We start from the raw sequence: 21727 nt of genomic DNA, 5'->3' as shown, positions 1-21727 counted from the left end.
GGGAGGCCGAGGCGGGCGGATCACCTGAGGTCAGGGGTTCAAGACCAGTTTGGCCAACATGGCAAAACCCTGTCTCTACTAAAAATACAAAAATCAGCCGGGTGCAGTGGCACACGCCTCCAGCTACTCTGGAGGCCAAGCAGGAGAATCGCTTGAACCCAGGAGGCGAGGCTGTGGTGAGCTGAGATCACACCACTGCACTCCAGCCTGGGTGACAGAGCAAGACTCTGTCTTAAAAAAAAAAAAAAAAAAAAAAAAAAGGGAGTGACTGCTGATGGTGGTCTTCTCAGCAAAAGCAGGTAAAAAAAAACAAAGAAGTTAGGGGCAGAAGTGATCAGTCCATCTTTGGTCAAAGTGGGTTTGAGGTGCCTGTGGGACATTCAAGAAGAGAAGCAGAGGCTGGGCGTGCTGGCTTGTGCCTGTAATCCCAGCACTTTGGGAGGACCAAGTGGGCAGATCAATTGAGGTCAGGAATTCGAGACCAGACTGGGCAACATGGTGAAACCTCATCTCTACTGAAAATACAAAAATTACCTGGGTGTGGTCGTGGGCGCCTGTAATCCCAGCTACTCAAAGGCTGAGGCAGGAGAATTGCTTGAACTCGGGAGGTGGAAGTTGCAGTAACTGAGAACACGCCACTGCACTCCAGCCTGGGTGACAGAGCGAGACTCTATCTCAAAAAAAAAAAAAAAAAAAAGAGAGAGAAGAGGAAAAGACAGCTGGGTACATGGTCTGGAGCTCCACAGAGAGGTCTGGAGTAGAGTCTGATGTTTTGAATCAATGTCAGGTATTATTAACTCCAGTTTACAAAGTTCAGAGAGGTTAAACTATTTGACCACAGTTATACAGCCATGAGGCAAGGATTTGAACTCAGATATATAGATGTCAAGTTCTGTGGTGCCTTTGACCCCCAAGTTCAGTGCTAATTCCCTTGTCCCAGGATGCATCAGCTTCTGCAAGCGGGGGCTGGGGGTTTGAGAAGGAGGAAGCAGGTGTCTGAGTGTATTTGTGCCCCATGTGCCTTCTGCCTGAAATTGCATTTGCAGCCCGGACACGGTGGCTCATACCTGTAATCCCAGCACTTTGGGAGGTCGAGGTGGGTGGATCACTTGCGGTCAGGAGTTCGCAACCAGCCTGGCCAACATGGTGAAACCTCATCTCTACTAAAAATACAAAAATTAGCCAGGCGTGGTGGTGGGTGCCTGTAATACCAGCTACTTGGGAGGCTGAGGCAGGAGAATCGCTTGAACCCAGGAGGGGGAGGTTGCAGTGAGCTGAGATGGAGCCACTACACTACAGCCTGGGCGATGGAGGGAGACTCTGTCTAAAAAAAAAAAAAAAAAAGAGAGAAAAGAAATTGCATTTGCCTGGAACTTGCAGGAAAGGCATTTCTAGCTGGCTTGGAGATAGCGAGAGATGGGGGCAGATTCTTGTTTCTTGGTAATCAGAAGCTCTCAATTAACTCTGGCTACACCATCAGCAAGTTAGTGGTTGTCCATGTGTGAGGATTTCGACAACCATGAAGTCAGCTGAGACCAGGCAGGAACTGAGGGACTGGGGACTTCTGCTACCTGGGACCCTTTGTTTCCTTCCCTGACTAGCTGCTCCTGTTTTTGCAGTGGGTTCTGTCCCAGAATGAGGTGATGTGGGAGAGGCCCAGGTCCTACATGTGGCTTAAGGTTTCCACTGTTCTACACTAAAGAGAACTAGGCTGAGGCCACCATGGTCCAGGGACAAGGGGCTGTCCCAGTTCAGTATCTTAGAGAAAAATTTTGTCTTAGCTCCAATAATCTTTTTGTGTCCGGAGTTGGTTCCTGCTGGTGGGGTTCGTGGTCTCGCTGACTTCAAGAATGGAGCCGCGGACCTTCGCGGTGAGTGTTACAGCTCTTAAAGATGGCACGGACACAAAGATTAAGCAACAGCAAGATTTATTGTAAAGAGCAAAAGAATGCAATAGAACTAAAGCTTCCACAGCGTGGAACGGGACCCGAGCACATTGCTGCTACTGGCTGGGAGGTGGCCAGCTTTTATTCCCTTATTGGCCCCGCCCATGTTCTGTTTCTGTCCTATCGGAGTGCGCTTTTTTCTTTTTCTTTTTTTTTCCTTTCTTTTCTTTTCTTTCTTTTTTTTTTTTTTTTTTTTTTTTTTGAGATGGAGTCCCACTGTGTTGCCCAGGCTGGAGTGCAATGGCGCGATCTCGGCTCACTGCAACCTCTGCCTCCCGGGTTCAAGCAATTCTCCTGCCTCAGCCTCCTGAGTAGCTGGGATTACAGGTGGGCACTACCACGCCCAGCTAATTTTTGCATTTTTAGTAGAGATGGGGTTTCACCATGTTGGTCAGGCTGGTCTCGAACTCCTGACCTCGTGATCTGCCCCCCTCGGCCTCCCAAAGTGCTGGGATTACAGGCCCGAGCCACTGCACCCTGCCAGAGTGCCCTTTTTTTCAATCCTCCCTGTGATTGGCTACTTTTAGGATCCTGCTGATTGGTGCGTTTTACAGAGTGCTGATTGGTGCATTTTCCAGAGCACTGATTGGTGCATTTTACAATCCTCTTGCTAGCTACAGAGCACTGATTGGTGCGTTTTTACAGAGCACTGATTGGTGCATTTTACAATCCTCTTGCTAGCTACAGAGCGCTGATTGGTGCGTTTTACAATCCTCTTGTAAGACAGAAAAGTTCTCCAAGTCCCCGCTCGACCCAGGAAGTCCAGCTAGGTTCACCTCTCATTTTCTTCAGAGAAGGGTGCCTTGCTTTCTTTCTAAATCAGGCCTTCCTACTGTCTCTCAGAGGGGTGTGTGTGTGTGTATCTGTCTCTCTCTCTAGACCACAAGCTCCATAAAGACCCAGACTGGGAATGGGAGCAGTGGCTCATACCTGTAATCCCAGCACTTTGGGAGGCTGAGGCGGGAGATTGTTTGAGTCCAGGAGTTGGAGACCAATGGCGAAGCCCATCTCTACAAAAAAAAAAAAAAAAAAAAAATAGCTGGGAGTGGTGGCTTTCACCTCTACTCCCAGCTACTCAGGAAGCTGAGGTGGGAGGATCACTTGAGCCTGGGAGGTTGAGGCTGCAGTGAGCCGCGATCCTGCCACTGGACTCCAGCCTGGGTGACAGAGCAAGGTTCTGTCTCAAAAAAACAAAACAAAACAAAACAAAACAAAAACATAAACACCTGGACTAGGTCTGTTTTGTCTACTTCATGTATTTCCTGGCTCATATTTGTCAAATGAATGAATGAACGAATGAATGCTTCTTAAGATCCAGGTCCTGGGCCTCAAAGTGGAGGCAGATCTTCTCGTCTGTTTTTCTATTTTCTTTTCTTTTTTTTTTCTTCTTTTCTCTTTTAATTATTATTTTTTTTAATCAGGCAGCTTCCAGAGCCAGAGTATGCTCAGAGAGATGCCCTCTCCTTGTCTGTTTACTGAATGTGTTTCCAGCTTGCAGAGTGTTACTTTCAATTCTGCAAAGAGGAGGTGGGGAGGGCAGCATGCACTAAGATGTTCCTCCCCGCATCCCACTAACCCCAGGAAACAGATGGTAAAATGCTTAAGACACTGCTGCTTCCCTCAGCACCCTTGGTGCCCCACCCCCCAGCCCCAGACTTGGCTCCTTCTCTCCTAAGGCTGAAATGCAATCAGCCCAGATGGGCTCTGGCAGTCAACTCTATCCTTCTAACTCTGGGCACCAAGCAGGGTGGGATGAAAGTCTGTATTTAGTCAGCTATTTTCCTTCTTCTTCCCGCAAACTTCCCAGCCTTCCTCAATCCTCTTAAACTTGTGTTCACATTCCTTTTTTAATACTCCAAGTGCCATTTCTCAGGCTGTAGCTTAACTCATTCTACATCAGTCTGACAGCAACACATTCCTCCTGTGTGCAGGGTTCTGGACCAGGCAGGGAGTGATTGGGCTGGCGGGGGAGGTCATATGCTGGTTAACAATATATGAATCCCACCCTGGTACTCACAGTTGATGGGAGGAAACAGACTTGCCCGTCTATAAGCCCAGTGTAGGGAGAAGCCCCATGTGGCTGGAGAACCAAGTCAGGGCTGGGGAAGCAGGTGGCTTTTATGGCAGGGCAGCTAATGGGTCTCAGGCATTCTCCTTTCTGAGAAGGTGAAAGGCACTCAAGGAGGAAATGCAGAAGCAAAGGCACCATCAGAAAGAGCCAGGCATGTATAGGCAGGAACCAGTAGATACAGAGCCTGGGAGATAAACCTGTGAAGGCAGGTGGGGGCTGTTCGTGGAAGCTCTTGAATGTCAAGTGGAGACTGATCTGAATCCAGTGAGCAATAGGGAGCCATTGAAGATCTATGAGCTGGGGGAGTTACAGACCCTGAGCTGTGCTTTAGGAAGGTTAATAGGGGCCATGGAGAGGATGCCTTGGGAAAGGAGAGGAAGATGCAGGGAGACCAGTTAGAAAGTTGTTACCTTAATGGAGGGTTGTTACCTTAGTGGAGGCTGCAGGAAGGCAGTACAGTCGGGTGGAAGGAGCTGGCTCCCTGGTGTGTTGGCTGGATCTCCTGCTAACCATTCCTGCAGCCTGAGGGCACGTTGCCTTTTGGACTTCTCCTTTTGTTATCTGATTTTTTGTTTTTTTCCCCCCAGCTTAAGCAAAGAAAGAAATTCACAAGCAACAGCAGGAAACTCCACCTTCCATTCCCTCCTCAGGCCTGGCCTCCTGGTTCTCTGTTGGCCCATGTACTCCTCTGCCAGGTATCTGGGGCCTCTCTGCAGGGTCTCCAGCCGGAGGATCTCTCTTCATGCTCCATCCTTGTCTTCAGGCGCCCACTTTTGGGGATCAGGAAGCTGTGCCTGGGCAGTAGGTTTGTCCGTGAATTGTAGGAGTACTGATTTATCCTAGAAGTTGCCAAGCATCAAGGGGAGACCCTGCCCTTCCCCAGGGGAATGCAATTTGAGTGGGCCCACAAGACCCACGCTAGTGAACCAACTGCACATCTGTGGAGGGTTGGAATATTCTCCCAGCTCAGAGAGGATCGGTGAGCCCTGTCTGTACTACACAGCTGGTAGGTACAGAAAGTGGGTCGCCTGGGGTTTTGCTTCAGTCTAGTGCCCTAGACATGGCACTCAGAGGAGGGAGAGCTGGGATCCGGTTCCGCGCGCAGTGCTGAGTCTCCCCTGATTTGCGGTAGTGGAGCAGTCCACCCGGAGAACTCAGGAGTTTTCGCAGGGCGAGGGGGAGGGCTGGAGCCTGGAACCCCCATATTCCTTGCACCTCTTGGGCCCGGGACAGGCAGCCCTTAGTCACTGGGGTGTCCATAGTGCCCACGAAGGGCCAGCGTCCCAGAGGGTTCCCAGGTCAGGTTGGTGACGTGTGGGGCTTCCCTAACTTCGTAGGCAAAATCTGCCAGACCCTCCCGGGGGAGCGGAGCTCCGAATACCAGGGCCGACTCCGCTCCTGAGGCCGCTGAGCCCTCCTGCACCTGTCCGGCCCGGGAAGTGCCATGGGACAGCTGATCGCCAAGTTAATGAGCATCTTCGGGAACCAGGGTAAGGGGCGCACAGGGCATCCAAGCGAGCGCTTTGATCTCGCCCTCTTCTGGGACTCCTCTGATCTGTGGTCGGACGCACGGGGGGACCTCGGGCTCCGAGGGTCGTATATGGGCGCTCCTCGACTGCCCCGCGGCCTCCCCTGCCCCCGTCCCTGCCTGCTCCTCTTGGGTCCCGGCGCTTCGGTGCGCCCCAGGACGCAAAGCTGGGCGACCCTCCTTTCTCCCCGCTAAACGGAGCCAGCGGCGGGGATGGGGGGCTGCTGCGAGTTTCCTGCGATTGTGACTTCGCGTTATGCTCTTTCTCTAAACACCGTCTCTTGGCAAGCCCCGAAGCGCCCCGGGCCTTTCAGACACTTTTCTGGAATGTGAAGGGAGGTGGGGGCTCAGCTGTCTTTTCCACCGTCCCGGAGTGGGGCAGGTGTCGGAGCTGGGTGGGAAGCAGACGCGGTACGGTGGGCAGAGGTCCCCAGCCTGCGGGGAGCGCTATCTCCTTCCTGGGAGGTCTGGTGGGGGCACACAGTCCCTTGGTCTTCGGGTTTGGCCCTGACGCTGCCCTTCCTCCGACGCTTCCAGAGCACACGGTCATCATCGTGGGACTGGACAATGAAGGAAAGACCACCATTCTCTACCGGTTGTAAGTGACTCTCGGGCGGGGAGGGTAGAGAGCTGGGCCTCCCACCAGACTGACAGGCAGGGGGACCAATCACTGGAGCTCTTCCCTGGGTTCCCGGGCTCCTCTGTAGTCCGGAGGAGCGATTGGGCACGCTGCTTGGACCTTCCTAGTACTGCGGCTCCTCGGTCTGGCATTCAAATCCTGCACCGTACAGGCAACCCTAGCTCCCACTGCTTTCCTCCATCTTCCCGGGGGCCCTGCCAAACCCAGCTCCAGGCCTGCCAAGTGTCCCAAACTGCCTCCCTGCTCTTCGCTCCCTCTAGCGGCAGGTCCCTCCTTTCTCACCCCTGTCCCCTCTGCCAGTTAACTTTCTTCCCCTTCTTCAAACCCAAAGGCTCACTGAGGCTCTGTAGCTCCTGGTCTAGCAAGCCTGGCACATATGGGTGGTGCTGAGTAAATACCGATCGCAGCTTTCCCCGATATTCGCTCTCTGGATGGCACCTCTCCCATTTTACAGCCTCCAAAGTACTTTACTTAGGAGAAGCTTTTCCATGAAAAAGTAATACATGTAATGATTTTAAAAAATTATAAAGGAAAATTTCAAACAATGGAGGAATACACGGTGAAAAGTAAGTTTCCTTCTTGCCTCTGGCTCCTAGTTTTCCTCCTATTGTAACTTTGCGTAACTTTTCAGAAGCATTATTTACATATAAAAGCATGTGTATATTTTCTATGTCACTTTAAACAAAGCACCTCTCTGATGTCCCTCACTGTGTCTGTCTCATTTTTCTAAACTCTTGCTCCTCAAAGTGTGGTCTACAGACCAGTCACACAGGCATCACCTGAAAGCTTATTAGGAATGCAAAACCATGGCCGGGCGCTGTTGCTCTCAAAGTGCCTGTAATCGCAGCACTTTGGGAGGCCGAGGCGGGCGGATCACCTGAGATCAGGAGTTCAAGAGCAGCCTGGCCAACATGGTGAAACCTCGTCTCTACTAAAAATACAACAACAACAACAACAACAACAACAAAGGGCTGAGCAAGGTGGCTCACGCCTGTAATCCCAGCACTTTGAGAGGCTGAAGTGGGTGGATCTACCTGAGGACAGGAGTTCGAGACCAGCCTGGCCAACATGGCGAAACCCCATCTCTACTAAAAAAATATAAAAATTAGCTGGGCGTGGTGGCACATGCCTGTAATCCCACCTACTCTGGAGGCTGAGGAAGGAGAATCACTTGAACCCGGGAGGCAGAGGTTGCAGTGAGCTGAGACTGCGCCACTGTACTCCAGCCTGGGCGACAAAGGGAGGCGGAGGTTGCAGTGAGCTGAGATTGTGCCACTGCACTCCAACCTGGGCGACAGAGAGAGACTACATCTCAAGGAAAAAAAAAAAAAAAAAGCAAAACTGTGGCCGGATGCGGTGGCTCATGCCTGTAATCCCAGCACTTTGGGAGTCCAAGGTGGATGGATCACTTGAGGTCAGGAGTTCGAGACTCGCCCAGCCAACATGGCGAAACCCCGTTTCTACAAAAATACAAAAATAAGCCTGGCGTGGGGGTGTGCTCCTGTAATCCCAGCTACTCAGGAGGCCGAGGCGGGAGAATTGCTTGAACCTGGGAGACATGATCGTACCTACACTCCAGACTGGGCGACAGAGTGAGACTCTGTGAAAGAAAGAAAGAGAGAGAGAGAAGGAAAGAAAGAGAGAAAGAAAGAAAGAAAGAAAGAAAGAAAGAAAGAAAGAAAGAAAGAAAGGCAAAAGCCTGGACCCCTGCCCAGACTCACTGGGTCAGAATCTGCATTTTGACAAAACTCTCAGGTCATTCAACTGCATATTAAAGTTTGAGGAGGCTGGGCTCTGTGGCTCATGCCTGTAATCCCAGCACTTTGGGAGGCCAAGGCAGGAGGATCTCTTGACAGGAGCCCAAGGTCAGGAGTTCAAGGTAAGCCTGGGCAACACAGTGAGACCCTGTTTCTATAAAAAGAAAAAAAGAGATAAAGTTTGAGGAGCCTCCTCTAAGATGTTTCCCTTCTCTGGGGTCCAAGCCAGGGCAGGGCTTAGTCTCACTCCTGTCTTCATTCCCCAGGGCCCAGCACGGGGCCTGGCTCCGAGCAGGTGTTTGGTGAACCTGGGTGGACTTGTTCTGAGTTAGATTCAGACTGCTTTGGGAGTAGAGCATTTGGGGGCCAGAGTTGGGAGTAGGCTGGACTGAGCTCTTGGTGCCCACTCCTACCTCCCCAGCTTGACCAATGAGGTGGTCCATATGTGTCCCACCATTGGCAGCAACGTGGAGGAGATCATTCTGCCGAAGACCCACTTCTTCATGTGGGACATAGTGAGACCTGAGGCTCTGAGCTTTATCTGGAACACATACTACTCCAACACTGAGGTGAGGAGGGCACCAGGGCTGAAGGGTCTCCAAGGCAGGCGTGTGATATCAGACTGTCATGTAACCTTTCTGAGCCTTGGTTCCCCAACTTGTGAAATAGAGATTATAATGGTCGGTTCCTGTGGCTCACACCTGTAATCCCAGCACTTTGGGAGTCCAAGGCGGGTGGATCACCTGAGGTCAAGAGTTCGAAACCAGCCTGGCCAACATGGCAAAACCCCACCTCTACTGAAAATACAAAAATTAGCTGGGCATGGTGTCAGGCACCTGTAATCCCAGCTACTCGGGAGGCTGAGACAGGAGAACTGCTTGAACCTGGGAGGCAGAGGTTGCAGTGAGCCGAGATCACGCCATTGCAACTCCAGCCTGGGCAACAGAGCAAGACTCTGTCTCAAAAAAAAAGTTTTATATATACATATATATAATGATCTCCCTAAGTTGTTGTGAAAATTAAATAACAAACCAATATGTAATGCATATATGTCAGATACTCAACACAGTGCAGTGCCTGCCTGTTAACGTGTTTGAATACTTCCTGGCAGCTGCTGGCAGCTTTCTGTTTGATGCACTGGATGGGTAGGCCCCTTCTCTCTAGGGGCCTTACTTTCTTACTCCAGCAGGAGTAGAATTCAGTGGTATAATTCCTGGACCGAGACAGAGCTGGGTTCCATTTCCAGCACTGCTACTCACCAGCTGTGTGGTCAAGAGCAAGATACATAGCCTCACTGAGCCTCAGTCTCTTCATTTGTAAAATGGGGATACTAACAGTACCAAGTCCACAGCGTTGTGGTAAGGCCTAAATGGAGTCATGAACACCCAATGCTTATGTAGCACAGCCTCTGCCACACAGTCAGAGGTGTGCTATTCCCATGTCTGGATAGAAAAGACAATTACAGGCCAGGTGTGGCAGCACACCTGGTGGTAATCCCAGCACTTTGGGAGGCTGAGGCAGGCAGATGACCTGAGATCAGGAGTTTGAGACCATCCTGGCCAACATGGCGAAACCCCGTCTCTACTAAAAATACAAAAATTAGCCGGGTGTGGTGGCACGCGCCTGTAATCCCAGCTACTTGGGAGGCTGAGGTGGGAGAATCGCTTGAACTAAGGAGGCAGAAGTTGGAGTGAACCAAGATTGCGCCACTGCACTCCAGCCTGGATGACAGAGCGAGACTCCGCCTCAAAAAAAAAAAAAAAGACAATTATAATGGAAGCAGGGTGGTGAAATCTTGAGGCTGCATGCTTTCATTTCTCTGGGGCTGACATCTGGGCAGTGCAGAGACCAGTGGGGAAAGAAAGAGGGCAGGAAACACATTTACCAAAGAGAAAGCCTGTCTCTCACGGCTCCCCTCTGCTGCCCAGTTTATCATCCTTGTGATTGACAGCACGGACCGGGATCGGCTGCTGACCACTCGGGAGGAGCTATATAAAATGCTGGCCCATGAGGTAAGCCCCCTGCAGTTGGGAGAGGGCCCAGTGGTACTAGCTGTGTGCCCTCAGGCTGGTCACTTAGCTTCTCTGAGATTCGTTCCTGCTGTCCCAGTTTCTGAGAGCCTCTATACCAGCAGCATGAGGAGGGCTGGTTTGTGCCTGATGAAGGGCATCAGTACCCTCAGTGCAATTGACTATAGAAGCCAGAGTTGCTGGTTCAAGTTCTAACTCCATCTTTCATTCACTGTAGGACTTTGGACAAGTGACTTCACCTCTCTAATCCTCAGTTTCCCCAAGTATAAAATGAGGAGGATCATCAATTCCCACCTATGGGATTGTCATAAAGAGGCTTTCCTTGAGCTGCTGATGTTATTTGATACGGTTGCTACCATTGTGGCAGGGCCCCCATCTCTGCCCCATCCAGGCATGGGCCTCTCTTCCTGGGACAGCTGGAGAGGGAGCCAGAGAGCGCCTGTGAGGCAGTAGGAAGGAAGGCTGGGCACTAGCAGGCTGACTGGGGCTGGGCTCCTCTGTCCACAGGCTCTACAGGATGCTTCAGTCCTGATATTTGCCAATAAGCAGGACGTGAAGGACTCCATGAGGATGGTGGAGATCTCCCATTTCCTTACTCTCAGCACCATCAAAGACCACTCGTGGCATATACAAGGCTGCTGTGCCCTCACCAGGGAAGGGTTAGTGGCTGCCCTACCTGGATCTCTAGGGCCTGGCTGAACCAATGGATGACTGACCATCAGAACCCTTCTCCTGCCTCTCTCCTGTGAGAATCTGGTTCACAGTTGGCTCCTGGGCCAAGCCAATTTGGCATCTCCCCACAGGTGAGATGTGGTGGGTAAGCCACAAGCAGACAGCATCCCTGCTCTCAGGGGCTTGTTCTAGTGGAGAAAGAGGTAGCACTCCGCCTAAATGCAATAATCTCTCTCTCTTTTTTTTTTTTTTTGAGACAGAGTTTTGCTCTTTGTTGCCCAGGCTGGAGTGCAATGGCATGACCTCAGCTCACTGTAACCTCCGCCTCCCAGGTTCAAGCAATTCTCCTGCCTCAGCCTCCGGAGTAGCTGGGATTACAGGTACCCGCCACCACGCCTGGCTAATTTTTATATTTTTAGTAAAGATGGGGTTGGCCAGGCTGGTCTTGAACTCCTGACCACAGGTGGTCCACCGGCCTCGGCCTTCCAAAGTGTTGGGATTACAGGCATGAGCCACTGCACCTGGCCGCAATAATCTTAGGTGCTGAGAAGTGATGTGAAGAATCCCACTGGTTACCAGAAATGGAAGGGAGAAGGATAGGTCTGATTTAGTTCTGGTGGTCAGGGCTGGCCTCTCTTAAGAGATGACTTTTGAGCTGAGACCTGAGTGAAGAGTAGGAGACAGCCATGGGGAGACCTGGGGAACAAGCCTTCCAGGCAGAAATCATTGACTCACTCTGACTTCAGTTTCTTAACTGTAAGGAAGAGGATCATTATACCTCCTAGAGTTTCTGTAGAGTAAATGACACCATTCAGTACACAAATCTTTCTTGAGCACCTCCTTTGTGCCAGGTACTGTTCTAGGCACTGGAGAAACAGCAGCGAGCAAAACAGACAAAAATCCCTGCCCTCACGGAGCTTACTTTCCGGTAGGGGAGGCAGATGATAAACAAGAAAAATATATAGTCAGTTAGAAAATGATGGCGGGGCGCGGTGGCTCATGCCTGTAATCCCAGCACTTTGGGAGGCCAAGGCGGGCAGATCACCCAAGGTCGGGAGTTCGAGACCAGCCTGACCAACATGGAGGAACCCCGTCTCTACTAAAAATACAAAAATTAGCCGGGTGTGGTGGCAGATGCCTGTAATCCCAGGTACTTGGGAGGGTGAGGCAGGAGAAGCGCTTGAACCCAGGAGGCGGAGGTTGCGGTGAGTCAAGATCATACCATTGCACTCCAGCCTGGGCAACAAGAGCGAAGCACCATCTCAAAAAAAAAAAAAAAAGAAAGAAAGAAAATGGTAAACGGCTTGAGGCCAGGAGTTTGAGAAAAGCCTTGGCAACAGAGCGAGACTCTGTCTTTACAAAAAAAAAAAAAAAAAAAAACCGCTGGATGTGGTGGCACACACCTGTATTCCTAACTGCTCATGAGGTTGAGGCAGGAAAATCACTTGAGCCCAGGAGTTCCAGGCTGCACTGAGCTCTGACCATGTTGCTGCACTCCAGTCTGGGTGACATAGCAAGATCCTGTCTCAAAAAAAAAAAAAAAAAAAAAAAAAAACAAGTGATAAATGATAAGGTGAATAAAGAGTAAGAAACAGAGATTGGGCCAGCATGGTGGTTCATGCCTGTAGTTCTAGCTACTGGAGAGTCTGAGGCAGGAGGATGGCTTGGGGCCAGGAGTTGGAGTCCAGCCTGGGCAACATATCCAGACCCCCATTTCCAAAAGCAAAAACAAAGAAAAGAAAAGGGAGAGTGGAAGTGTGTGGAGGGAATGTTGCAATTTTAGGTAAGTTATCTGACAAGGGACACTAAGCAGGTAGATATTGAGTAATCACCTGGAGGATTTTAAGGAGCTGGGCCACGTAGAAAGGGCCTTACATCAGGCCTGGAAAACTTCCCTTTCGTCTTACCTGTCAAGTGGAATCATGGCAGGCTGGGCACACAGGTATCTTTTTTTTTTTTTTTGAGGCAGGGTCTCCCTCTGTCACCCCCCAGGCTGGAGTACAGTTGTGCAAACATGGCTTACTGCAGCTTCAACCTCTTGGGCTCAAGCGATCCTCCCACCTCAGCCTCCCTAGTAGCTGGGACTACAGGCGCACACCACCATGCCCTGGTAATTTTTGTATTTTTGTAGAGACAAGGTTTTGCCACGTTGCCCATGGCTGGTGTCAAACACCTGAGCTCAAATGATCTTCCTGCCTTGGCCTCCCCAAGTGTTGGGATTACATGAGTGAGCTACCACGCCTGGCGCAGATGTGTTTTTTGAAGAAGGGGAGACTTTAGGCAAGTCAGTCCAAGGGACCACACGTTTCTAGCAGTGTCCTTGCCACCCGCTGGGTCAGGAGAACCCTCTTCCACAACCCACAGTCAGTTCAATCAGCATTTTCCCTCCCTTCTTTCCCTCCCTCCCTCCCTCACTTCCTCCCTCTCTTCCTTCCTTCCTTCCTTCCTCCCTCCCTCCCTCCCTCCCTCCTTCCCTTTCTTCGACGGCCACTTGCTCTGTTGCCCAGGCTGGAGCGCAGTGGCGCGATCTCGGCTCACTGCAAGCTCTGCCTCCCAGGTTCACGCCATTCTCCTGCCTCAGCCTCCCGAGTAGCCGGGATTACAGGCGTGAGCCACCACGCCCGGTTAATTTTTTTTTTTGTATTTTTAGTAGAGACGGTGTTTCATGGTGTTAGCCAGGATGGTCTCGATCTCCTGACCTCATGATCCGCCCGCCTCGGCCTCCCAAAGTGCTGGGATTACAGGCGTGAGCCACTGTGCCCGGCCACTTTTTTCTTTTTTTTTTTTTGAGTGGAGTTTCACTCTTGTTGCCCAGGCTGGAGTGCAATAGCATGATCTCAGCTCACTGCAACCTCCGTCTCCCGGGTTCAAGGGATTCTCCTGCCTCAGCCTCCCAAGTAGCTGAGATTACAGGCATGCGCCAACATGCCCAGTTGATTTTTGTATTTCTAGTAGAGACGGGCTTTCTCCATGTTGGTCAGGCTGGTCTCGAATTCCCGACCTCAGGTGATCCACCCGCCTCCGCCTCCCTAAGTGCTGGGATTAAAGGCGTGAGCCACTGCGCCTGGCCCAATCAGCATTTTCTAAGTACCCCCCATGTTCCCTGTGCGGTGCCAGACCAAGGCTGAGGATGATACAGAGATGACCAAGACTCCACCCATGCGCCGGAGTTGCTTACAATCTAATGGGGGAACTTGCGTAGGGAACCTCTTTCTGGCACAGATCACCGTGAAGAATCCTTGCCCAGAGACACAGCTAAGGGGCCCAGCAAGGTGAGTCTCCAGGCTCCTTCCTCAGAGAAGCCCTCCCTGACTCTCAGGCATCCAGAGGCCTCTGTATATTTCCTTTATCACAGTATGTAATTACAGAATTATGTGTCTGACCATTTATTTAGTATCCATCTCTTCTACTAGACAGTAAGCCTCAGGGGCATGTCTGCATTTTCACCAGTAACTCCAGAGCCTTGCACAGTACCTGATGCACAGCAGATACTCAAGCCAGTTCATCTCTGTTAATTGAATTATTGGATGTAACTTTGGTTCCTGCACCCAGTCCGATCTGGGCAAGGGCTGGAGACTTGAAGGCCATCATTCTCTTGGGTTAGGCTGACCCCTCCTGTTCCTTCCTCCCTGCAGGCTGCCTGCCAGACTTCAGTGGATGGAATCTCAGGCCGCTGCTAACTGATGTTCCAGTCTGAGGTCAACCAGAAACTTTGGGGTTTTGCATGGTCAACATGGGTGGAAAATCAAGTGGCTATTTATTACTTTTCTATGGTTCTCTAGTGGGAGCAGTGGCTGCTATGGACAGTGAGATTGACACCATTCTCCCAACCCGTTGCTGAGAAGCTGGACTGCATACCTTGGATTCCTGCAGACAGCACAGCAGAAGAAGCTGCTCCTCACTCCATGGCCGCAGGCATCCTTCTTGGAGACGTCAGGGAAATGTTGGATATGTTGCAGATTTAGTGAGTGGAACTCTCTCCCTCTCCTCAGCCCTCAGTCTCTCCGTAGGAATAATGTGTGTGTGTGTTGGGGGGGCAGATTAAGAGACCCCTGAGGCTGGGCGCGGTGGTTTACGCCTATAATCCAGCACTTTGGGAGGCTGAGGCAAGAGGATCACTTGAGGTCAGGAGTTGGAGACCAGCATGGCTAACACGGTGAAACCCTGTCTCTACTAAAAATATAAAAATTAGCTTGGTGGTGGTGCACGCCTGTAGTCCCAGCTACTCGGGTGGCTGAGGCAGAAGAATTGCTTGAACCCGGGAGGTGGAGGTTGCAGTGAGCCGAGATTGTGCCATTGCACTCCAGCTTGGGTGACAGAGCGAGACACCGTCTCAAACAAAACAAAGCAAAATACAAAAATTAGCCGGACGTGGTGGCGGGCGTCTGTAATCCTAGCTACTCGGGAGGCTGAGACAGGAGAATCCTTTGAACCTGGGAGGCGGAGGTTGCAGTGAGTTGAGATCGGGTCACTGTACTCCAGCCTGGGCGACAGAGAGAGACTCCGACTCAAAAAAAAACAAAAACAAAAACAAAAAACCCTGGAATTGCTCTTCATTTCCTCAAACCTCCTTCCACCCTCAGGCTTTTTAGCCCCTCAGCCATTTTTGTCCCATTCCCTTTGGGCAAAGGAGATTCTAGCAAGGTGAAGAAGGTGGGCTCAAGGGGAGGAGGGCAGAGGCAAAAACTGGAAGGGGAAATGGAGGAGGACAGGACGTCCCAGATAGGGACAGCCCTTTGCACTGCAGGGATTCCACTTCTCCTCGTCTTCCCATTCCCTCTGAGATGCTGACTCTGACCACAGCTCTTGGACTTTAAGCCACCCCACAGCATCCCCTTTACTTCTAGTGTCCTTCCAATTTGAATCCCACTCCTCCCAAATATACCAGATTCCTAAAGGGGCTGCTTGTTTGTCTTTGTGTAATGATTTTTGTTGTTGTTGTTATTGTTGGAGTCTCGCTCTACCGCCCAGGCTGGAGAGCAGTAGTGGCGCGATCTCGGCTCACTGCAACCTCCGCTTCCCGGGTTCAAGCGATTGTCCTGCCCCAGCCTCTCGAGTAGCTGGGACTATAAGCGCGCACCACCACGCCCTGCTAATTTTTTTGTATTTTTAGTAGAGATGGGGTTTCACCATGTTGGCCAGGATGGTCTCGATCTCCTGACCTCGTGATCCGCCCGCCTCGGCCTCCCAAAGTGCTGGGATTACAGGCGCGAGCCACCGCGCCCGGCCAGGATTTTAAAAAAAATACTGTATTAGGATTTTTATAAGGCTGTAGTAAATGCTATTGAAAAATGCTTACCTCTTATTTCAGCCTTCTCCTCTGTCTGTTCCTCAAACTGGCTTTTGGTTTGAGAGAAGGGGAGGAGCGACCCTGGGGTTGGAAAAGCCCAGGAGACAAGATGGAGATCCAGTCTGTTCATCTGTACATCCCTGGACCTGGGGCGGTCCTGGGGACAGTCCTTTTCTCAAGCCAGTCAGTGGACATTTGGGGGAGAGTCTAGGCACGGATATAGAGGACCCAATATTCCTTTTTTTTTGAGACAGAGTCTCGCTCTGTTGCCCAGGCTGGAGTGCAGTGGCGCGATCTCGGCTCACTGCAAGCTCCGCCTCCAGGGTTCACGCCATTCTCCTGCCTCAGCCTCCCGAGTAGCTGGGACTACAGGCGCCCGCCACCACACCCGGCTAATTTTTGTATTTTTAGTAGAGACGGGGTTTCACTGTGTTAGCCAGGAGGTCTCGATGTCCTGACCTTGTGATCCACCCGCCTCGGCCTCCCAAAGTGCTGGGATTACAGGCGTGAGCCACCGCTCTCGGCCCAAGATTCCTTAATCTAGTTGGTTTTCCGAAAGCGTGGCTATGAAGGAAGAACTCAGGAGTTCTAGCCATTCCCATTGTATTTTGTGTTTTTTTCAGTAGGTATCCCGACGCAACCCTCAGATTAAAACTTTAAGGGAAAATGAAGACCACACCCCTATTCCATAGAAATTAACTCTAATGACAACGTAGTGGCGTGGCGGGGGTATAGCTCAGTGGTAGAGCATTTGACTGCAGATCAAGAGGTCCCCGGTTCAAATCCGGGTGCCCCCTCTGTGCTCCGGAGTTACCTCGTTTTGTTGGTCTCCGGAGGTCCTCTAAAGAGTTCCCGCACAGATGGAATGGGAGGGAGTCTCGAGCCCTGCCACCCTTTTTGCTTTCGCAGGCGAGTGAGGATGGAGTCCTGGCCCCTGCCAGTGGCTCAGCCTGTGTGTGTACCCAGGGTAGAATGCAATGCGAGTGAGGGCGAGGAGCTCCGGGCTGACCCTTGGAACACGGTACGGGTGGCTCAACCTCGCAATGGCAGGGCGGAGGCGAGCGCACCCCCAGGTCAGCCTGGCTCTTTCTTGGCGGGAAGGAGGCTGAGTTTCTAAGGGCTGGGCTGGGGAAGACAGGTCGGGAGAAGCCGCGTGAGCATGTGGGAGGGAGAAAGAAGCTCCGAGACGTGGCAAGGGGTCTTCTGCAGGGCAGGAGAGTGGGACGCCCCCGAAGTGAAATATTTCGAGAGACTTCTCCTTCCACACCCCAGGAATATATTTTCTTATACTGCCAGTGGGGATCTTCAGCTCAGAGCTTCAGGGAACAACCCCTGCTTCCAAGTGAGTAATTCTTCTGGGAGTTGTATTTTTTCCATCTCTTGTAAACGTCTTACCCCACTTCCACTTCCCTTCGGGAACGCCACACAGCGCCTGCGCAGCAATACCACTAAACGACTACGTGCGGTCGGTTTGCCGGCAGAGGGGGTATAGCTCAGTGGTAGAGCATTTGACTGCAGATCAAGAGGTCCCCGGTTCAAATCCGGGTGCCCCCTCTTTGGCCTTTTCGAGATACTGTTTTTGTCCTGGGTGTCGATTTTTCCTAAGCTGTTTGCTTTTACTCCTACTGGCAGACGAGGAGCAGTGAGGGACTGAAAGGAACTGGGGATTCAACAGCAGTGGCTCTCAAAATGTGGTCCTGGGACCAGCAGCATTACCTGGGTACGCTCGGGCCTCATCCCAGACCTAATGAATTAGAAACTTGAGGGTGGAGTCCAGAAATCTGTGTTTTCATATACGCTCCCCATCGCTTGAGTCCAGGAGTTGGAAGCTGCAGTGAGCTATGATCGCAGCACTGCACTCCAGCCTAGGCAACGTGCGAGAACCTGTCTCAAAAAACAAACAAAATACACACACACACACACACACACACACACACACACACACACACACACCCTGCAGGTGATTACGATCTCAAGTTCTAGAGGCTTACGTTAAAATTTACACATTTGCTTCTACTATTTACAAGTTTATGTTTCAGCCTGAGCTCTTCTTGTAAGACAGACCACGAGGTACCCCAGATGGAGGAATGTGCAAAGACGCCGGGGCTGGAGCTGGAATCCGTCCCGAGACTTCTCACCTTGACCTCGAGGAAGGCAGGAGGTCGGAGACAGGGGGTGGGCAGGCTGGGGAAAGAGGAAACCCGCAGGACAAGAGGGTTGTGGCTCGTCACGTGGCCACTTGAGGGCAGCAAGTAGCTGCAGCTGGAGGTAGCTGCCTATCTGATTCTGTTTGAGAGTCCGCCAAGTTGGGATTTAAATTAGACATCAAGAAGAATTTACAGACCGGCCTTGCCTTGTTCCACGGTAAGGGGACATTGGGTTTAGGGCTGGAGGAGGTAGTCTCTGGGACTCTGGGCCCGGCGGAAGGAGGAACCGGCGTTCTAAGAGATTAGAGAGCCTTTAGTTGTTTCCTTTCTTAGGTGTTTTTTTTTCTTTTCTTTTCTTTTTTTTTTTTTTAACCTCAGTGCCACGGAATCCGTCTCTTCCAGCCCACAGTGTACCTTCTCCTGTCCCCGCCCATATCCCTCCTCCTGGAAAATTTCTCCAATGGCGCTCAGCGTTCGCACCCTTCCTCTCCGCGGTTTTCTAGTCCCTAGGCCCCAGCCCACTAGAAGCCAGGATGCCCCCTCACCCCGTCTCCCACTCTCCAGCGCCCCAGCTCCTTGCCGTCACAAGAACGAAGTAGGTCAGGGGAGGGAAGAGGCATCTTCGTGTCCTGACCTGATTCCTTGCCGTCTATTAAATATCCTACATTGCGGGTATTTTTATTCTGTCCTGGAAGAAAAAATAAAAAGATTATCTATCCCCAGAGCCTGTCAGAAGGTGGTGACAGGTGGGGTGAGCCATTTCCTCGTCTGGGGCTGGCTCTGAAGATTGATTGGGTCTGGCCCTGAGTAGGCCTGGAGGCCCCAGAGAGGCAGGAGGCCTGGGTTACCTACTCGTGGGGAGGGGTCCAGACTGTTGCAGAGTAAGGGGTAGCCAGGCCCCCTCCACCCTCACGTCTGCTAGGCTTGGGGGGCAAATCGGTGCTGGAAATGGGGGGTGGAGGGATAAGGTGGAGTCATGGAAGGGGGGTGGGATTCAGGCCCCTCTTGGGGAGAAAAGCTGGGGGTCTTTGCTGCAGGGGGAGATTTCTGGGGGTGGGGGCTGGAGGACAAAGCATCAGAGACGCACAGAATTCCGAAGAACAGCTCAGGAAGTCGCAGAGCTTGGAGGAGCTGGGGGCGGGGAACAGTCAGGGGCCCGTGACCCAGGGATGGGGCGCCTGTCCCTTCCAGGGGTCCAGTCCTCGGGCCTTCTCTCTGCAGCTTTCCCGGCGGAACGGAGGAGGGAAAGGGAGCCAGGAGCTCAGTGAGGAGCGCGGGGCGGCTGATGCTTCTAGGGGTTCTCTCAGCCCGAGGGGCTCCCGCCCTGTCCCCTACTCTGCACCCCTTGCCTTGGGAGCGGCTGCAGAGCTCTAGGGGAGCGCTCCGTTAGGGCTGAGGGCAGGCGCCGGGAGAGCCCCCAACGACGCCGCGCCCCCCGCCCCGCCCCCTGCCCCAGCTCCCCCCCACCCCCACCGACCCAGCGGCCCCCCCAGCTCCCCGCCTGCTCCCGGAGGCCGCAGCCTCCAGCTCCGCTCGCGCTCTCGCCGCTCCTGCCGGCTCGCCCGGCCCCGCGCTCCGCCGTCTCCTCGCCGCCCGCCCCTCCGCCAGCCCCGGGGACCGCGCGGCCGCAGCCTGAGCCAGGGCCCCCTCCCTCGTCAGGACCGGGGCAGCAAGCAGGCCGGGGGCAGGTCCGGGCACCCACCATGCGAGGCGAGCTCTGGCTCCTGGTGCTGGTGCTCAGGGAGGCTGCCCGGGCGCTGAGCCCCCAGCCCGGAGCAGGTAGGACTGGCGGGAGCCGGCCCGGGTGGGCCGGGGGCGGGGAGGGACGGGCAGTCAGGTGTGGGCATGGGCAGGTGTGGACGGCCTGGCGATGTCCGCGAGGGGGGCATTGTCCGCAGGAGGCCAGGAGAGCTGTGGGCTGTGGGCAGGTGGATAGGGACCCCACTTTCCCAAACACATAGGGTGTGTGAGTGACGGTGGAGACACCGATGCCCGGACCTCTCCTTCTCTCCTGGAAGGATACTGGAGGGACCTTAGGAGAGGGGGCTCTATGTGGCCATGGGCTCTGAAAGGGGACAGCGGGAGAGTCATCAGGACCCCTGATCACCCCAGGCAAGGCTGAATTCTGATGAGATGGGAGCCTGGGGAGGCCCCTGCCCCAGCCATGCCTTCTTTTCCTCTTCTCTGCCACACCCCCGACCCCAAAGCTGATCCAGGCTAGGGATAGGTGGGAGCAGCCAGGGGGATGGTGGGGACACAGCGTCTCTGCCTGGGAAGGCAGCAGCCATTCGGTCACCTTCCCTTGCCTATTTGGTGTCAGTAGAGAGGCAGTGGGCCCAGGAAGAAGCAACTTGCTGCTTCTGCACCCCCAGCCTCAAGAGTCCCCCTCCTCACACCTGCTCCCATTTGCCCTGGCAGCCTTTGGCTTTCAGCTACTCTGGCTCTAGATGGGGCACTGGGGTAGGGGGTGGAGGGAGGCGTCCCATTCTGCACACTCCTCTTCCCCCCTACCAGTTCTCCAAACTCATCTCTCCCACCTGGAAGTCCTTTCTGAGATCTACCTGGAATCCCTCATGGTATAATTTTCATAGTCTCTGTTCTCCCCTAAGCACCTAGACTTTCTCTGGGGTTGGGGAGATGGGTAATTTGCAGCCTGGCCCCTCAGCAGAGATGATTAAGAAGATAGATACCTGTGCATCATTGGCATGGGTGCCCCTCAGGTGGGGTGAGGGAGGCGCTGTTGAGGTGAGTGCTGTGGTTGACCTGCTGTGTCTCAGGAGTGTGCTGGCACCAGGCACAGTGTCAGTGGCAATGTTCTTGACTTTAATGGTCCCAGCATGTAGCTGAGACAGACCTGGGTCCCTATTGAGAAGAAGAGTATGTTGGGGGTGGGAGGGGAAGGAGGCTGACAGTGGGAAGTATGGGCAGAGGGCAGTGGAGCTGACGAACCGAGAAGCTGCTGGTGAGAACCACCAATTTTCAGGGAGACCACACAGAGGGTGGCCAGAGACGTGGCTTCTAGTCCCGCCATCTCACTTGCTGTGTGACTTTAGACAAGTTACTTTCTCTCTCTGGACCTATTTTTGCATTTATAAAGTGAGGCTGTTGGCAAAATCTTTGACTCTTGTGCGTGGAATAATGAAGGATCTTTTATAATTGCCTTTCCTTTTCATATTTGTTAGGGTCTTTATGGGTAACTGATACTTTAAAAAAATCAAGGTAAACAGGAGAGAGTTGGATATGTTATGAATAATTTCTGGGCTCCTTTGAATCCTCAACCTGGTGTGATCTTCTGAACTCTGGGTGTAACAGAGTTTATGAGGGGAGGATCTGAACCTTTGGCTGGATTGTGTGAACCACGGAGAGGGCTGGGGAAGGGGGAATTGGGAGGTAACAAGGATGGGCTGGGAGATAGTGGCCAGACCCGGGCCTGGCTGAGGGCGGCCCCTTCAGAGTAGGGTTGGGGTAGTAGACGGTTGAGGAGACCAGGAAGAGTGGGGCAGGCAGAGACTTGAATCACTTCTCTAAGTAGAGGCTATCCTGTCTTCTTGGCTTTGACAGAGATTGAGCCAGGAGAAATGCACTTTTTCTGCAGCAGGAGGGATAGAGGTTAGACTTAAGGAATCTGTAAGAAGCCAGAGGCGGC

The 21727-nt window shown here is 52.6% G+C and overlaps 2 protein-coding genes and 2 non-coding genes across 20 annotated transcripts in view, besides 6 other annotated features; all 4 read left to right on the top strand.

Moving 5' to 3' along the window:
• Positions 4631-5432: an enhancer, noted in NCBI's record as "H3K4me1 hESC enhancer chr17:37322043-37322844 (GRCh37/hg19 assembly coordinates)". NCBI's record gives its function as "activates a minimal SCP1, AML or CMV promoter by ChIP-STARR-seq in primed H9 embryonic stem cells {active_cell/tissue: H9 hESC(primed)}" and the evidence as "EXISTENCE:reporter gene assay evidence [ECO:0000049][PMID:30033119]".
• Positions 5061-14490, top strand: ARL5C (ARF like GTPase 5C). 3 transcript variants are annotated; one of them, XM_047435964.1, is made up of 6 exons: positions 5061-5507; positions 6083-6143; positions 8364-8511; positions 9871-9954; positions 10480-10775; positions 14427-14490. In XM_047435964.1, the coding sequence occupies exons 1-5, from the start codon at positions 5462-5464 to the stop codon at positions 10669-10671; spliced, it is 531 nt and encodes a 176-aa protein (XP_047291920.1). In that variant the 5' UTR covers positions 5061-5461; the 3' UTR covers positions 10672-10775; positions 14427-14490. The 3 variants fall into 3 exon arrangements, with proteins under 3 accessions (XP_047291920.1, NP_001137440.1, XP_047291919.1); NM_001143968.1 differs by lacking the exon at positions 14427-14490 and adding an exon at positions 14280-14328 and having other exon boundaries at positions 10480-10631; XM_047435963.1 differs by lacking the exon at positions 14427-14490 and having other exon boundaries at positions 5061-8064; positions 10480-10854.
• Positions 5433-6234: an enhancer, noted in NCBI's record as "H3K4me1 hESC enhancer chr17:37321241-37322042 (GRCh37/hg19 assembly coordinates)". NCBI's record gives its function as "activates a minimal SCP1, AML or CMV promoter by ChIP-STARR-seq in primed H9 embryonic stem cells {active_cell/tissue: H9 hESC(primed)}" and the evidence as "EXISTENCE:reporter gene assay evidence [ECO:0000049][PMID:30033119]".
• Positions 16548-17052: an enhancer, noted in NCBI's record as "H3K27ac hESC enhancer chr17:37310423-37310927 (GRCh37/hg19 assembly coordinates)". NCBI's record gives its function as "activates a minimal SCP1, AML or CMV promoter by ChIP-STARR-seq in primed H9 embryonic stem cells {active_cell/tissue: H9 hESC(primed)}" and the evidence as "EXISTENCE:reporter gene assay evidence [ECO:0000049][PMID:30033119]".
• Positions 16602-16671: a silencer, noted in NCBI's record as "silent region_8448". NCBI's record gives its function as "represses an Ori minimal core promoter by ATAC-STARR-seq in GM12878 lymphoblastoid cells {active_cell/tissue: GM12878}" and the evidence as "EXISTENCE:reporter gene assay evidence [ECO:0000049][PMID:35858748]".
• On the top strand, positions 16660-16731 carry TRC-GCA2-4 (tRNA-Cys (anticodon GCA) 2-4). The gene has a single exon. It is a non-coding gene; the product is annotated as a tRNA-Cys (tRNA).
• Positions 17053-17559: an enhancer, noted in NCBI's record as "H3K27ac hESC enhancer chr17:37309916-37310422 (GRCh37/hg19 assembly coordinates)". NCBI's record gives its function as "activates a minimal SCP1, AML or CMV promoter by ChIP-STARR-seq in primed H9 embryonic stem cells {active_cell/tissue: H9 hESC(primed)}" and the evidence as "EXISTENCE:reporter gene assay evidence [ECO:0000049][PMID:30033119]".
• Positions 17417-17488, top strand: TRC-GCA2-3 (tRNA-Cys (anticodon GCA) 2-3). The gene has a single exon. It is a non-coding gene; the product is annotated as a tRNA-Cys (tRNA).
• Positions 17932-18081: an enhancer, noted in NCBI's record as "active region_12090". NCBI's record gives its function as "activates an Ori minimal core promoter by ATAC-STARR-seq in GM12878 lymphoblastoid cells {active_cell/tissue: GM12878}" and the evidence as "EXISTENCE:reporter gene assay evidence [ECO:0000049][PMID:35858748]".
• Positions 18255-21727, top strand: part of PLXDC1 (plexin domain containing 1) — an 89655-nt gene continuing 86182 nt past the window's right edge. For 12 of the 15 annotated variants that reach the window (XM_047436428.1, XM_047436427.1, XM_047436426.1 and 9 more), the window contains exon 1: positions 19585-19860. In XM_047436428.1, the coding sequence (XP_047292384.1) occupies positions 19785-19860 (76 nt within the window). In that variant the 5' untranslated portion in view covers positions 19585-19784. Of the gene's footprint in view, positions 18299-18459; positions 18677-19584; positions 19861-21727 lie in introns of those variants that run through there. The other 3 variants (XM_047436434.1, XM_047436432.1, XM_047436435.1) reach the window with 2 other exon arrangements.

This window comes from Homo sapiens, chromosome 17 (genome assembly GCF_000001405.40).
Source record: "Homo sapiens chromosome 17, GRCh38.p14 Primary Assembly".
NCBI lineage: Eukaryota > Metazoa > Chordata > Mammalia > Primates > Hominidae > Homo > Homo sapiens.
Note: the sequence above shows the minus strand (reverse complement) of the source record. Positions and strands in the feature narration are given on the sequence as shown.